Consider the following 17,469-nt stretch of genomic DNA (forward strand, 5'->3'; position numbering starts at 1 on the left):
GCTAGGGGGCATTTTGGAAATTTGCAGGTACTTTCATTGGTCATCACAATGATGGGAGGAGGGGGCCACTGACATTTAGTTGGGGGTGGCCCCAGATGCAGGAGATTGGTCTGTGTCCCACATGGCTTTCATTTGTCAGACCTGACCTTTGCTTCAGTTGAAATGTGCATCGAATTACGGTGGAACTTTAACTTTGTTTTACATATAAACACAAAATGTTTTTGCATCTTGTGAATACACACAGGAATTTCTGGAAATGCAACTACTGTATAAGTCTAGGAAGGGATGGTACTCTTTTTACCACTTTGGAAAATCAGGACACAGAAGCCAGTTCCATTCATGTTATCTGTTTCAGCAATCAACACATATATGATGCCCACAAGCCCAGTAATTTCATATGTGTATATTTCTTTAGTTCCTGTTTCAAAATAACAGCAATTTAAAGAAAAAGTGTAAAAAATATTCCAGAGTGCCTGACTCTCTGTTCTTAAATTATAAATAGGTACAAATATCTGACTGCTTATTTGTGACCTCTGGTGTAGCTCTGAGTGAGCATTTAAATATTAATTATGTATTACTTTATTTTATTCCTCCTCTATTATAATTTAGGTCATTATATTGATTTTTCAACTATGTGTATATGCATTAGCCATGAATTAATTTCATAATCACAATAGTGAATAATGTAAAACAGTTGGGGCCAGGCACAGTGGCTCACGCCTGTAATCCCAGCACTTTGGGAGGCCGAGGCAAAAGGATCACCTGAGGCTAGGAGTTTGAGACCAGCCTGGTCAACATGGTGAAACCTTGTCTTTACCAAAAATACAAAAATTAGCCAGGCCTGGTGGTGCACACCTGTAATCCCAGTTACTCGGGAGGCTGAGGCAGGAGAATTGCTTAACCTGGAAGGCAGAGGCTGCAGTGAGCCAAGATTGTGCCACTGCACTCCAGCCTGGGTGACAGAACGAGACTTTGTCTCAAAAAATAAATAAATAAATAAATAAATAAATAAATAAATAACCAAACAAAACAGTTGGTATAAAAAGGGAGACTGGACCATTACAGCCAAAAGATCCTGAGGAGACACAACCACTAGCTGAAATATGGCATTGTGGAAGAAATCCTGGAACAAAAAAAAGACATTAGGTAAAAATCAAGGAATTCTGAATCAAGTATGGACTTCAGTTAGTAAGGTCTCAATTATTAGTTGTAAAAAAAAGTGCACTCATGTGAGATGTTAGTAATGAGGGCACTGGGTGCAAGGTACATGGAACTTTCTAATCTTCTCAACTTTATGCAAATCTAAAACTGTTGTAAAAAAGGAAAGCTGAGGAAGGGCTTCAAGACAGCTGATTAGAAGCATTTCATGCCCACCTCTTCCACTTAGTGTGTATAGACAGTCATACTTTGAATACACCATCCAAGAGAGAATGTCGGGATTCAATAGAGAAGTAACAAGAAACACCAGAAAGCAGGTAAGAAGGGAGAGAGACAGCCTGCCTGGAGGGGATGAACTGGGAGCAGGAGTAACTTCCCAAGGCAAGGAAAGGGTGAGTGACTTCCAGAGGCCCACATCCCCACCATGGAATCCTGCATTCCTGCCACAAGAGAGTCCCTCAACCCTCCCAACTCCTGACACTAACATAGGGAGCTGCTGGGAGATCATGGGATGGAACCACTCCAGGGAGGGAGCTCACATTGGGTCCCATACCCTTTCTGAGCCTAAGCAGCTATGGCAAGGTGCCATTTTCAGACCTAGCCTTTGGCAGACTGCATACTGTCCTGGAGCCCAGCAATGGCAAGACTGAGGCATTACAGAGACTCTGTTGCTGCTGGGACTGGGTAGCAAGCTGGAAGTTGTCGCACAGCCAGAGCTAAAAAGCAAGCAAGCTGTGGGCAGCCGTTGTTGGTGCCAAGAAGTGAGTGCCACTGGGACAGAAGACTGGGATGCAAGCAGGGTGTGAGTTGCTGCTTGGTCTTAGTCGCCAGCTGGGTGGGAGCTCCTACAGCCAGGGAGGGGCATAAACTAGGAACAGGCTACTACTGCTGAGGTGGGGAACAAGCCCCACTGGAACTGGAGCATGAGAGAGATGTGGTTTTCCTACCCTCTGGCCCAGGCTGTGACCACTGAGGATGACCCCACCCTCTCCAGTGGCAGGGCCTCAGTACAGCTGCTACCACCCTTTACCCAAGCACTCCACCTGCCGTCTGAGGATCACCATGCCCCTGCCAACCATGTCATCCAGGCTGGTCTTCAACTCCTGACCTCAAGTGATCTGCCCACCTCAGCCTCCCAAAGTGTTGGGACTACAGGCATGAGCCACCATGCCCAGCTGCAGAAAAGATAACTATTGGGTACTGCACTTAATACCTGGATGATGAAATAATCTGTACAACATTCCTGGTGACATGTGTTTACCTATGTAAAAAAACCTTCACATGTACCCCCAAACCTAAAATAAAATTAAAAACAAAGAAAAATAAAAGAAAGTCATATATGGGTAAGAGCACATGGTCATAAAACCTGACAACTGAAAGACTATAAGAAATTGAGTGCTGTATTTTTTTGTTCTTATTTATTTTTTAACATTTTTAGTAAATGTCCCCAGAGCCCTAATTTCAGGAATATACATAGGAAAGAGAAGAAAGACCAAGAAGACAAAGGAAACACGTTAGACATAAGAGCCTCCACTGGGAATAAACATCACAGTTATCTCTGGTGGAGCCACTTGCTAAGGGTCATGAGTGTTCTAACGAAACTCACATAAGAAATCACATAGTCCTCTTAGTCTATAAATCAGATATGGTATTATTAGCATCCCTGTTGTAAAGATAGGGAAACCAAATCTCATTCCTGAGGTCTGCTTTTATCTACTACCATGCACAGCCTCTATGGAAGAACCTGCAGATGGCCAAGAGCATGGCTTTTGCACCTGATACAGCTCCATGAGATTTCAGGTTAAGGTGTATAGTTACTTAGGTTAAGGTATATAGTTACTTTACTTCACTTCTTGTATGGACTTTGGAAAAACAAATATAAACATATTATTCATCTTTTGCATGTCTTGAAGAAAGATAAGCAACACCCAAGACCTAGGGTGTGGCACCCTTGCAGGCATGGACTCTAGGGCTGGGGCTGAGTGAGGACCTGTCCAGTACAGGAGTATCTAAGCTGGCTGCCAAGGTCAACTCCAACAGCACTTATAGGAAGGGCTCTAAGATCTTCACTTGGAAAGAGGGAAGTATGTGTATGTCCACATGCCTGAAGTGTGAATCTTAAATTTATTAACTCCCTTTACCATGGAATAAAAAGTATAAACTTGAGGTATGACTACAGAGCATTTGGAGAAATATCATGTTGGTTATAGCATTATTAAGAGTCTTCATTTGGAAAATATGCATACAAAAAGAATGTTTAAATGTCATTTCACCCTTTAAGAGACTTGCAGTCGAAATAGAATGGCATAGTTCTGCATTCCCAGCCTTTGCTGTGCATTCTCATCAGCAGTGGGTCTCAACTTTACAATCACTAGGGATAGGGCCACAAACTTACCCTGGTTGGCCCGAGACATTCCTGGGTTTAGCACTGAAAGTTCCATGTCCTGGAAAATTATCTCAGTCCCAGAGAAATTGAGACAGTTAGTCACCTTATCAGGATGCTTTTAAAAATCTTGATGTTCAAGCCCACCCACCCCTGACAAATTGCTCAGAATCTCTGGGGGTGGGACCCAGGCTTAACTGTTTCTGAAAGATCTCCAAGTGATTCCAATGTACAGCAAAGCACAAGAAAGCCCTGCTCAAGGACAGGCTTCTTAACTTGAAAGTACACAACAATCACCTAGCAATCTTGGTAAAATGCAGATTTTAATTCCTCAGGTCTGGAGTGGGGTCCAATTTTCTGCAGTTCTAACAAGCTCCCTGGTGATGCCAGTGCTGCTGGTGTACAGACCAGCCTCTGAATGGCAAGGATCTGGAAAACACAAGCAGTATGTTTTGTTTCTACTTTGAAAGAATCTATAATAGAGTCAGGAAGAGAAGTATGTCAGGACAAAATTAACAAAAGGGGGAAAAATCAAATAAAATATAAGTAGGTAGTAATGCAGTAAGGAGAGGGAGCAGGTCCTAAGACACATTTTCTTGGATTCCTTAGTACACTGACTACACATAATAGGTATTTGACACATATAATCTGGAAATGCTTAATGGGGGTGGGTTCTAACACTGACTTACAAGGGTGGAAGGGCATCCCAGGAAAAGGCAATGGTGGGCATAAAGGATTCTGCAACAAAATAAGCTAAAACTTTGTTAAGTGTACAAATCCACAATTTTCTCTGACTAATGCTTAATTGTGGGGGAAGAAAAGAATTTGGATGGGGCATATTGAAGGAACTTCTGGGGTGGCTGGGAGAGTTGTATTTCTTGATTTGGGTGGTACTTGCTTTATAATGATTTATTAAGCCATGCATTTGATTTCTGTGATTTTTAGTATCTGTGTTTTTACAATACTATTTTACAATAAAAAATTTATAAAAATTTTTATCTGGAATGACCACATATATTGGGAGGAATAGGTCTGCCTTGGCTAAACAGTTTGTACTGAAACCGGTCAGAGGTTGCTAGGGGCTACTGACTATGCAGAACTAATGAGTCATCTCACTCAGCTCCATGGGAAATGTCAAAGATGTGGAGGAGTAGGGGAATAAAAAGAATAAAGAACAAAGTCAGCTGCAACTGATATGGGAAAAGGGAGTTACGTACGCTCAAAAAATTGTTTCATTTTCTTCTGCTCACATATCAAAAAAAATTACGGCATCTGCTCTCCATGATTTTCTTCCTACCCCTCTGGCCTCTCGCCCTAGACCCACAAATCCAATTGTCCTTGAACATCTCCTGCTGAGTAAGCCCACTCCCCAAATTCAATATGTCCAAAAGCAGAATCCCAAAATCTATGCATCTTCAACCTCCATGTATTGGAGAATTTCAGCACCATCCACCATATCATCTCAAGCCAGGATCCAAGAAATACCTCCCCTTGACTTCACTCTTCCTCACACCTTACAAGCGGCAGGTGACCAACCTCTGATAATTCCACCTTCTTGCCACCCCTTAGATCATTGCGTCCTGAAAAACTACCAACTAAGGGGCTCCGATTTTTCCCTCTCTCTATTGATACTCTATGCATACTTCCATTGCAGCCCTTATAACACTGTATTTCTCTAATTTTGTTAATATACCAGTTTCTTTCTGCATGATGGGAAATTTCTTGAGGCAAGAACACAGTTTATTCATCCTAGTGTTTCAGGCGTCTACCAGAATGCAGGCAGAGTTTAAGTGCCCAGAAAAAAGAAAAGGTTGTTGAAGGAACAAATGAGTAAATGCTTAGCTGCTCTCTTCAAGCCTTAGATAATTGAGCTGACCAGGTCATCTGTGACTGACTTCACATCCGGCCACTGAGGCAGTTCCCAGAGATTGCATCTTCCTAGGCCTCCTTCCTTCCCCCTCCATCAGTAGAAAAATAAAGAGAAACATGTTCTAGCTTTGAAACTGCTAAGATGGGGGAAATTTCAGGAAAAAAAAAATGTAACTTTTACCATCCTCCTAAAGATGGCGGACAACCTTCCCTTCCCGTCTCGTATGTACATTGTGGCACATGCTGCTGAGATTACATTATTTCAAACCTGACACATGTTTTAACCCCTCTCTAAAAGCCTGCAATATTTTATGTAAACATTTTATTGAAGTTTAACGCACATGTAAGAGGGCACACAAATCTTAAGGTTACACTCAAAAAATGTTCACCAAGTGAACACACAGAAATATTTCCATAAACAGAATATGATCCGTACCCCTAAAGTGTCTCCTTTGTCCCCCTCCAAGCACTAACCCCACCCCTCCCACGACTAGATGAAAATATTTCCAAATTTGCTTTGGCACAAACTATTTTGTGAAAAGTTTCTATATTTTACTCTCCATTTATTTTAAAAAGTTTTTAATTCTAAAAGAAAGCAACGTATGCTCATTGTAAAAAGTTAAAACTTAACAGAAGTACAAAACTGTAGAAAGTGAAAGAGTTTCCCTATCAACACTCTGCCCACCCCGGACTTCCACCACCTCCATTCCCAAGGTTAAAAACTTGTAACAGTTTGGTGCATTTATCAGTTCAAACTATGCTACCATTAAGGAAAAGCTCAATTCAAAGTGGACAATACAGTAAAACAATGTATTGCCTCTCATAATTTACTTAATCATTTTCTGAGTGAATGAACATTTGTTTCCAATGTTTTGCTATTACAAACAATGCCACATTGACCATTTCATTTTGAACACTTTAAACAGATAATGTAAAGAGATCTTGAAAGTCCAGAGTTTGGGCAGGCTTTGGGATTTGTTTAATTCAGTCACTCAACTATGTCATCAAAGACTCCATTTCTATCTCCTTGCTCTGCTTCCAAGATATCAGCTGCATCCCGAGGCTGGCTTATTTCAGGTTGTAACATAGCTGACAACAGGGCTACATATTTTATCAGAGAGAAGTGGGTAGGGAGGGAAAGAAAAGAAAGAGAAGGAAGAGAGAGAAACTCAACAACGGTGGAGTGAAAGTCCTAGGCCTCATTCTGATTGGATCAAATTTGGTTATATGCCTACTTACAAGCCAATCATTAAGGCCTGGGGAATGTCAAGTAATAATTGGAGCAGTTCCCATTCCTGAATCAATCTCTGTGGCAAAAAGGATGGGATTATCCTAACTGATTCCAAGAATAGGACCAACCTCTGAAGGATGAGGGGTCAGTTCCACCCAAATCAAATAAATGGCTACTACATGATGGAGTATAGTTGGAATGGAGACTGGGAAGGCCACCATATTATTCATTGCTGTAAATATCCTTTGAGGCCATTTTTTGCATATATATATATATATATATATATATATATATATATTTGTATATATAGATATATACACACACACAGTTAATTTTTAACTATAATAAATCACACTATTCTGCAACTCACACTATTCTGCACCTTTATATACATATAAATCTACCTCACCTTCTATAGGTGCAAGATATTCCATTGTATGAGTGAACAATAATTAATTTAACTATTTCCCTAACTGATGAACATTTAGATTGTTTTAAATATCTCTTCTGCAAAAATTCTACATTGACCATTTCATTCTGAACAATATCTTAAACAGAAAATGTAAAGTAATTTTTGGAAGAGATACAGTCATCCCTTGGTATTGGGGGATTGGTTTCAGGACCCTCGCGGATACCAAAATCCATGGAAGCCCAGTCCATTCCCCTGCCTGCAAGCTCAGATCGACTTAAACACATGCAAGCTCTTAGCTAGAATGTCACCTGGAGGCAACCTAGAGCTTTAATACAAAATATTTCATATGGAGAATTTTCCATGAAATAACTTATCTATTGCATTCAACTGTAAACATGATTCTTTCTTTACTCTTTTCTGTAATATTTTACTTGTAGTTTTTATTATAACTTCTTTCCCTTTTCCTTATCTTCCTGACAGAGAATCAACTGGGTCCCTGAAGGAGGTGCTCCAGCGGCCTGCTCCGTCCTGTCGGAGGCTTCCTGAAGGCCTGTGTTCTCACCTGCCCTTAGTGGAAACCTTCTATTCATCTGATCTATTTTCTTGTGGGTGTCAGGGCCCATATGTCTCCATCTCCCTTTCCAGCTCCAAGATATCTGTTATGGGCTGCATTGTATCTCCACAAAATTCATATGTTGAAGCTGATATGATTTGGACCTGTGTTCCTGCCCAAATCCCATGTCAAACGGTAATACTCAATGTTGGAGGTAGGGCCTGGAGGGAGGTGATAGGATCATGGGGGTGGATTTCTCTTGAATGGTTTAGCACCATTCCCTTTGTGATTAGTTCTCATGAGATTTGGTTGTTTAAAAATGTGTCACACCTCCCTCCCCTCTCTTTTGCTCCTGCTCCAGCCATGTGATGTGTGCTTTCCCTTTGCCTTCTGCCATGATTGAAAGTTTCCTGAGGCCTCCCCAGAAGCCAAGAAGATGCCGTCATGCTTCCTGTACAGTCTTCAGAACGATGTGTCAATTAAATCTCTTCTCTTTATAAACTACCAAGTCCTGGGTATTTCTTTATAGCAGTGTGAGAATGGACTAATACAAAGCCCTAACCCCCAGTATATCAGAATGTGACTGTATTTGGAGATAGGACCTTTAAAGAGGCAATTAAGGTGAAACGAGATCACCTGGGTGGGCTCTAGTCCAATATGACTGATGTCTTTATAAGAAGAGATGAGGATGCAGATACCCACAAAGGGAAGACCATGTGAAAACAGAGGGAGGAAACAGCCACCAACAAGCCAAGGGAATGGCCTTGGAAGGAAGCAATCCTGTAGACACCTTGATCTTGGACTTCCAGCATCCAGAACTGAGGGAAAACAAATTCCTATTGTTAAAGCCCCTGGTGTGTGGTTTTTGCTATGGCAGCCCTAGTAGACTAATACAGTGCCCAAGCCCAAGTGTGCTATGGAAACCCCTGAATGGTCCAGAAGGAGCCTCCTTGACGTTCTGTTGCTGTCTGGGTGGCTCCTAGGCCCCTTCTTCCCTTTGTCTTCCTGACCTCTGATGGGTGGTCCCTTCAGTTCTACTCCTCCCAGATTCTGCCCACCAGTCCACTTAGAGTTGGTGCTTACTTCCCTTATTTGGTGCCTGCAGATGAATGGTTTTCCAGTCTTTCAGGGCTTAAGACTCACTGCTTTGTGAATTCAGACTCCCAGACCACAGCTCCAGAGATGCAGACTCACTAGTTCAGTGATGGGGCTGGGAAACCTGCACTTTTAACAAATACCCTCAGGTAATTCTGAGGGATATGACCACACTTTGAGAAACACCACTGAAGATATGTCCTCTTTCCTGTTTCTCTAACCCAGTGGGCTGCCACCTTGACTGCACATGAGATTCACCTGGGGAGCTCTTTAGAACACCCACGCCTAAGCCCACCTTAGATATTCTGGGTTAATTAGTCTGGGATGGGGCTTGGGCTTGGGTATTTTTTTCTCATAGGTTATCGGGGTACAGGTGGTGTTTGGTTACATGAGTAAGTTCTTTAGCTGTGATTTGTGCGATTTTGGTGCACCCATCACCCGAGCAGTAAACACTGCACCCTATTTGTTGTCTTTTATCCCTCGCCCCCTCCCACCCTTCCCCCCAAGCCCCCAAAGTCCATTGTATCATTCTTACACCTTTGCATCCTCATAGCTTAGCTCCCACATATCAGTGAGAACATACCATGTTTGGTTTTCCATTCCTGAGTTACTTCACTTGGAATAATAGTCTCCAATCTCATCCAGGTTGCTGCGAATGCCATTAATTCATTCCTTTTTATGGCTGAGTAGTATTCCATCGTGTATGTATAACACAGTTTCTTTGTCCACTCATTGATTGATGGGCACTTGGGTTGGTTCTACGATTTTGCCATTGCGAACTGTACCGCTATAAACATGCATATGCAAGTATCTTTTTCGTATAATGACTTATTTTCCTCTGGGTAGACACCCAGTAGTGGGATTGCTGGATCAAATGGTAGTTCTATTTTTAGTCCTTGAAGGAATCTCCACACTATTTTCCATAATGGCTGTACTAGTTTACATTCCCACCAGCAGTGTAGAAGTGTTCCTTGATCACCGCATCCATGCCAACATCTACTGTTTTTTTAATGTTTTGATTATGGCCATTCTTGTAGGAGTAAGTTGGTATCGCATTATGGTTTTGATTTGCATTTCCCTGATCATTAGTGACGTTGAGCATTTTTTCATATGTTTGTTGGCCATTTGTATATCTTCTTTTGAAAATTGTCTATTCATGTCTTTAGCCCACTTTTTGATGGGATTGTTTGTTTTATTCTTACTGATTTGTTTGAGTTTGTTGTAGATAGTGGATATTATTCTTTTGTCAGATATATAGACTGTGAAGACTTTTTCCCACTCTGTGGGTTGTCTGTTTACTCTGCTTACTGTTGCTTTTACCATGCAAAAGCTCTTTAGTTTAAATAAATCCCAGCTATTTGCTTTTGGGTTCTTGGTCATAAAATCCTTGAGTAAGCCAATGTCTAGAAGGGTTTTTCCAATGTTATCTTCCACAATTTTTAAAGTTTTGGGTCTTAGATTTAAGCCCTTTATCCATCTTCAGTTGATTTTTGAATAAGGTGAGAGATGAGGACCCAGTTTCTTTCTCCTACATGTGGCTATCCAATTATCCCAGCACCACTTGTTGAAAAGGGTGTTCTTTCCCTGCCTTATATTTTTGTTTGCTTTGTCAAAGATCAGTTTGCTGTAAGTATTTGGGTTTATTTCGGGGTTCTCTATTTTGTTCCATTGGTCTATGTGCCTATTTTTTACCAGTACCATGCTGTTTTGGTGACTATGGTCTTATAGTATAGTTTGAAATCAGGTAGTGTGATGCCTCCAGATTTGTTCTTTTTGCTTAGTCTTGCTTTGGCTATGTGGGCTCTTTTTTGGTTCCATATGAATTTTAGAATTGTTCTTTCTAATTCTGCAAAGAATGATGGTGGTATTTTGAAGCTGATTGCCTTGAATTTGTAGATTGCTTTTGGCAGTATAGCCATTTTCACAATATTGATTCTACCTATCCATAAGCATGGAATATGTTTCCATTTGTTTGCTTCGTCTATTATTTCTTTCAGCAGTGTTTCATAGTTTTCCTTGTAGAGGTCTTTCACCTTGGTTAGGTATATTTCTAACTATTTTATTTATTTATTTATTTATTTATTTATTTATTTATTGCAGCTCTTGTAATAAAAAAGCTGAGTTCTTGATTTGATTCTCCGCTTGGTCACTGTTGGTTTATAGAACAGCTACTGATTTGTGTACATTAATCTTGTGTCCAGAAGCTTTGCTGAATTCTTTTATCAGTTCTAGAAGCTTTCTGGAGGAGTCTTTAGGGTTTTCAAGGTAAACGATTATATCATCAGCAAACAGTGACTGTTTGACTTCCTCTTTACCAATATGGATGGCCTTTATTTCTTTCTCTTTTCTGATTGCTCTGGCTAGGACTTCCAGTACTACGTTGAAGAGGAATGGTGAGAGTGGGCATCCTTGTCTTGTTCCAGTTCCCAGAGGGAATGCTTTCAACTTTTTCCCATTCAGTATTATGTTGGCTGTGGGTTTGTCATAGATGGCTTTTATTACATTGAGGTATGTCTGATTTTGCTAAAAGTTTTAATTATAAACAGATGCTGGATTTTGTGGAATGGGGCATGGGTATTTTATTTTTAATTTGTCCAGGTAATTCCAACATGCAGCCAAATGGGAACCACTAGTCCAGTCCCATTGCCATGTTCCCAGAGCTGTCATCGTTTCTCACCTGAACTGAGCTAGAGCCTCCTGCTGGCTCTGCTTCCCCTAACAGCTCCCTCTGCCCCACTCCTTCTCCACAATGCAGTCAAAGTAATAAAACACAAGCTTAGTCGTGTCTTTTCCCTGCCAAAATGCCACCAATAGCTCCTCATTATCACAGGCTAATATTTACAAGTTCCCTAGCCTGACATCAAAAGCCACCCATGTTCTGGCCTCTTAGGGCCTCTGCACCTTTCTCTCTCCCTTTTGACCCCTAAGCTCCAGCCACACTCATGTCCTGGGTTCCCCCAAGTCACTAAGTCTTGCCCTTTGTTTTCCCACCTGCCTGGAATGCTCTTCCACCTGGCTAATGCCTTCCATTTAGTGCTTGCATGATCTGTGAAACCTTCCCTGACACTCTCCCCATGCCCAGGTGGGACATAGGCCCTCCTCCTTTTCCAAAAACACACCAGTGCACCCCTCTTTCAGAGCACGTATCAGATTGTATTGTATTGCTTTCCATTGGTCCCCTTCTCGTGACTGTACCCATCTTATTCTCAGTCTCCCTGGGTCTTAATACAGTGCCCAGCATGTGTACAGTAGGGCATGATGAACGTCTGTTGAATGGATGAATAAGTGGATACCTGGCCTCTCCCTGCCATGCCCTTGCCCAGCGCCTGCTGTCTGGTTACCATTTACAAATGAGCTTGGCTCCCTCAGTTCTGGTGTTTCCTTACCTCCGTGTTCCATGTCTACTTCAATCCCAGAATAACTGTTTATACCAGAGCTCGTCCAGCCCATAATTGGGGCGAGAACAGGTGAGAGACTCATAGCTACTCTGGGCCCAGCACTTTCCATTCTTTAACCCTCATGGAAGCAACACAAAGTCATCATTATCGCCTCCATCTTACAGCTGAGAAAACTGAGGCTCTGAGAGGTTGAAAATGACTTTCCTGAGGTCCCACAGCTAGGGGGTGACCGAGCCAAAACTGGAATCACAGAATCTGACTCCATGAGCTCCAGCCTTTCCTGCTGGGCCCTGTGCTCATCCACTAAAAGAGACAGGAGCTTGGTGAGTGGCTGTTTTGTGTTCTTTTGTGCGAGGATGAGTCCGTGTGGGCACAACAGGGGACACAGGGGAGGCTCAGGAAAACAAAGTTTATTATACTCACAGGTCCTAGAGACAGGAAGCATGATATGCCTTGCAGGGCCACAGGGGAAGACACCAGGGTGGTCAGGAGCCAGAAGACAGGAGTGAGGGCAAGGTTTAGACCAGAGCCTTCCTTGGTGTTTCTGTGGAAAAAGCAAGGTAGGGCAGGGTGAACAGTTTAGGATTGGCTAGTTTGAAGAATTTCAGTGGGCTCTAGGTTACAGGGGTGGTCCCTGGTTGCCTGGCACCTGGCCCTGGAGTGATGAACGCAGACAGACATTGTCTCCTGGGGTGTGTGGGTCAGATGAGGGAGGGCTCTGGTTGGTTAGTTTGCTAATCAAATGCTCTAGGGCCAGGTGTGGTAATCCCAGCACTTTGGAAGGCCAAGGTGGGAGAATCACTTGATCCCAGGAGTTTGAAACCAGCCTGGGCAACAAGGCGAAACCCTGTTTCTATCCCAATGTTTTTTTAATTTGCTGGGTGTAGTGGTGCATGCCTGTGACCCCAGCTACCCAGGAGGCTAAGGTGGGAGGATGGCTTGAGCCCAGGAAGTCAAGGCTGCATTAAGCCATGTTCATACCACTGCACTCCAGTCTGGGCGACAGAGTAAATGAGACCCTCTCTCAAAAAAAACAAAAAGAGAAACAAACAAACATAAAAAATAAATAAATAAATAAATAAATAAATAAACAAAGACCACGCTCCAGGCTGGGCCTTTTGTTATCTCTAGGAATTGGCTAGCCCCAGAGGGGCAGTCTCCCCTGGACCCAAAATGGGTTTAATGTTTGATGATGTCAAAACATCATAATATACAGAAAATTTAAGAATATATTTGCAATACAGTGGGGAAGGAGGAATGGCTGCTGGAGACACAGGCTGACAATGTGACTCACCTCCCAGGAATGAACCTGAGGAAGCCCTCTAATTCCACAGCCATCAGCTTTTCACAATCAGTAATGCCACGCTCCATCAGACATCCTAAGAATGTGTGGCCCATGTGGATGAGAGGGGTTGCCACTTTTATTCAAAAATGTATCACGAATGCTTAGAACAGTGCCTGGGATAAGGTAGACAGACATTTATAAAGTGGAAAAATATTTACTGATTTAATGAAAAAAGAGTGAATTAACAATGACCCTATTAAAATAACTCAGTGTAGTCCTTTTCACTACTGTTGTTTAAGGACCCTGTTTCAACACAGTTGTTTAAGGAACCTTTACATAAGGGTGGAAATTTTTGTTCCTCTTTCTCCTCTGTGATGTTTTTCTTCCTCTTTTCTCAGGTGAAGACTGAAAATTCTAAGTTCTCACTGGGCAGAAATGGACATCAAGATCTTCAGATGAAAAGGCCCCTTAATAAGTCGGGGGAAAAAGTCCTCATAGTACTTTAATTCTAAAGTAGTAATCCCATGTGTGCAAGTGTCTGTGCCACCTTGGGAAACTGTGAAGCTTTGTGGCTGTTTATAAACTTGATAATTGGTTCTAACACTCAATGCCTGTTGGGAAGGGCTGCTATTCATCACCTTGACTCTGACTTTCAAGTCCTCCCTTAGTCTGACCTTGTGTTGTCATCTCATGATGCCAATGCCATTGGGATTGGCCCAAATTATTCTTATCCAAACAAAACATAAGCAAGAAAGACCTCTTCTATGACTTTGTAATCTAACAGAACTGAAGAGATGAGTGACTGGGTTCTGGTTCGCCTTGGCCAGAGCTGTGTGTCCTTCTTATACCTCACTGCTCCTCAATTTCTGAATGTCTGAAAAAGCCAGCTGATAGATACTATAGATACTTATTCTGCCTAGCCCAAAAGAAAGCCAAGAGAATAATTATAGAATGCAAATACGAAAAAGAGAGTTAGATGAGGCCTCACAGGTCAGCTAAATTTGGCAAGACTTCCAATTTACAAGTGAGAAACTTGAGGTGCAGTGGTGTGTGCTCATTTGTTATTGCTCCGTAACAAATTACTGCAGACTTGGAGGCTTGAAACGGCACAAATTTATTCTCTTACAATTCTGGGAGTCAGAAGCTGGAAATGAGTCTTATGGGGCTGAAATCATCTTATGGGGGTGTCAGCAAAGCTGATTTTCTCTGGAGACTCCAGGAGAGAATTTGTTTCCTTGCATCCTCCAGCTTCTAAAGGTGGCCGTCACTCCTTGGCTCCTGGCTGAATTGCTCCAATCTCTGTTTTTATTGCCAGTTAGCCTTCTTCTCTCTGACTCTGATTCCCCTGCTTTCTTCTTATAAGGATCTTTGTGATTAAAATAAAGCCACCCAGATAAGCCAGGATAATCTCAAGGTGAAACAGACAGAAATCGATGACAGAGCCTATGCTGGCTTGTGTCAGCAGGAAGGACAGGGTGCACCAGGTGTGGCAGACCCTGAACTGCATCACTGTTGTTAGACTGCTGTTTACTCTCTCCACGCCTTGCTGCTGTCACTTCCTGAATGTCGGCATACTGTATATTACCTCCGAAGGGTCTTTCCCACATGGCAGGAAAGATGAATGCTGACAGCCCTAGATTTGAATCCTTCTAAAAACTCGAGAGGCAGGAGGCTGTCCTTTCCCTTAGTTTCTATAAAACAGTCCCAAGGAAGGGCTCTAATTATCCTGGCTTGATAATGTATGCAAAGTTCAAGTCTGGCAGGAGGTTTTGCACAAACCCAGCTTCCAGAGTTCTGCGAGGGTTCTTACTCTGGGGCTCAAAGCAGCCCTGGCTGCTGCAGCAGTCCCCACGCCATCAGGACAGTTGCAAGGAGAAAAAAGGAGCCCCAATCCCTCACCACTTGCATTTTTTGGTCTAGTCTGGGAAGACAGAACATTGGCACAATTTATGAAAAGCAACTTTGTTACTCACAGTTAAGCAGCAAAAATCAACAGAAACCCAGGGTCCACCATGAGCAGTTCCCCAGGGTTCAGGAATGCTGCCAAGGGCAGATGCAGTCTAAGCATGCCTCACATTACACTCTAGCTGAGGGACTCTGAAAGCACTCCATCCTGGGTTTATATACCCTGGGTACCACTTGGACCACTGAATGCAAGCACTGCAGAACATCCTATTCTAGAAGGAATAAGAATGTAGCCTGGATTGCTCCAGACATTTCCTCCTTATTACAGGATTTTCAGTAGTTTCTGTCTAGGAATGAAAAGCAAGAAGGGGAAGAGCTGGGTCGGCCAAGGTCATCCAGGGACTTATGTTCCTGCAATGTGCTCATTTCTGAGCCAATCTCTGTAACCAGCCAGGGATGGTGCCCTGGTTCAGCCTGGGTCATGTGTCCACACTGTGGGCAAAGCTGGAGGGCAGGATTACTATCAGGAGAAGGCACAGGAAGAAAATCATGCTGGGCAAGGCAAATTCATGGTTACCTCAGCCTCCAGCTTGTCTGAGAGTGTCCCATGGCCATGGTTCATGATGGGTGATGGGCAACCAGGATGAGACAGAAGCCAGGGAAAGAATGAAGATAAAAAAGAGTGGGCCCAGAGGAGCACAGCCCATGAGATTGCACCTCTGGTCCTTGGGAGGCAGTGGTTTCAAAGAGGGGCACTGCAGATGAACACTCCCAACACGGCTAAGGAGGTCAGAGACATGCCACATCTCTAGGACAAGATGAAGTGGGGACAGCCACCTCCAGCTTCACGCTCCCGCTCAGCAAAATATGGACAATAGTTCTGGATTCATAGGGCTTGTCTGAAGTTCTATAGAAGCAGGACCTGAGACACAGATTCTTGGTGCAAGTGATCTCAGAAAGAGAATGTGAGTGGCAAGATAGAAAGAAAAAGGAAGCCAAGAAAAATGTAGATTCAGCTGCATTTTAACCTCTCAGTCTGATCCCACCTCAGCCTGATCCCACCATAGCATGAAGAACACCACAAAGTTATGCAACCTTGAGACAAGGCACCAGACTTTTGCACCCCATATCTGTCACTCATTGTCTGTGGCCACCCCTAGGGGGAAAGCAGGCATTTCTAGGCAAGGTGGCTCCCCTTAGCTGAGCATTCAGAAGAAGGAAGCAGCTGCAACCTGTGAGCAGCCAACACTCAGCTACGGGGTGGTGCCTGGCAGATTAAAGTGTATCTGGTGGGGGCCCCAACTATACCCCTTATGGGGCTATTGTGAGATAATGAAGCTCAAGTCCTATCACAAGGCTGGGAGTTATCATTGTCATCATCATTATCTTATCCCTGTTGTAGAGAAGTAATAAATAGTAAGCATCACATAACACATGCCTCTTGGCTGGCTGCTGCACAGACATACATAGGCAGTAGGAATGTACACAGTCCTTTGTTCATATCCTGTGCCACCCCTGCCATGGACTAGTTATGTGATTTGGGGTGCCAAATTTAGCCCCCTTGAGCCTCAGGGTTCTAATCCATAAAATGGGCTAGGTAACCAGAGCTGGGCTGTTGCAAGGATGACATGAGGTCATCCCCATGGTGCTCTAGGTGCGGTTCTTGGAACAGAAGAAAGCATTCAAGTGACTGTGGGTCATCAGCTTCTGTGGTCAGACAGTCTAAAGCTTCAGCTGACACACATGGAGGCCAAGAAGACACTGGCTTCACGAAAGGCAGTAATATGACTGTGTATTATGTAAAAGATGAAGCCAACTGTGTTTAAGGAAGCAAATCCATTTTCAAAAAGAGGATGTGAAAACAAAGCCTCTAAAGACGTCTGTCTGTTACTCATCAAGACTGTGCCACGGATAGGGCCTTTGCTGTACAGCACCTCCTCAAATGCTCACACAGGCCACCGCTCAGAACAAAGGGGCCTCACCCTGGGCTTCCACAGAGATTTGTCAGCCCGAGGCCACCACCTTTAATTTGGTGGATCAGCTTTTCCTGCCTGTAATCAAAGAGGATAGGATGTGTGTCGAGGTATAGATTAGTTGGGGCTGCCCTGCCCCGCACCCTAATAAAGGTGTAGCCATGAACCTTATTTAGTCTCTCCTAAGCCTCATTTCCTTCTTAGTTA

General features: G+C 43.1%; 1 annotated feature.

Annotated features, from left to right (window-relative positions):
• Window positions 16,848-17,067: an enhancer, noted in NCBI's record as "active region_16565". NCBI's record gives its function as "activates an Ori minimal core promoter by ATAC-STARR-seq in GM12878 lymphoblastoid cells {active_cell/tissue: GM12878}" and the evidence as "EXISTENCE:reporter gene assay evidence [ECO:0000049][PMID:35858748]".

The sequence above is a fragment of the Homo sapiens genome, chromosome 2 (genome assembly GCF_000001405.40).
Source record: "Homo sapiens chromosome 2, GRCh38.p14 Primary Assembly".
Classification (NCBI taxonomy): domain Eukaryota; kingdom Metazoa; phylum Chordata; class Mammalia; order Primates; family Hominidae; genus Homo; species Homo sapiens.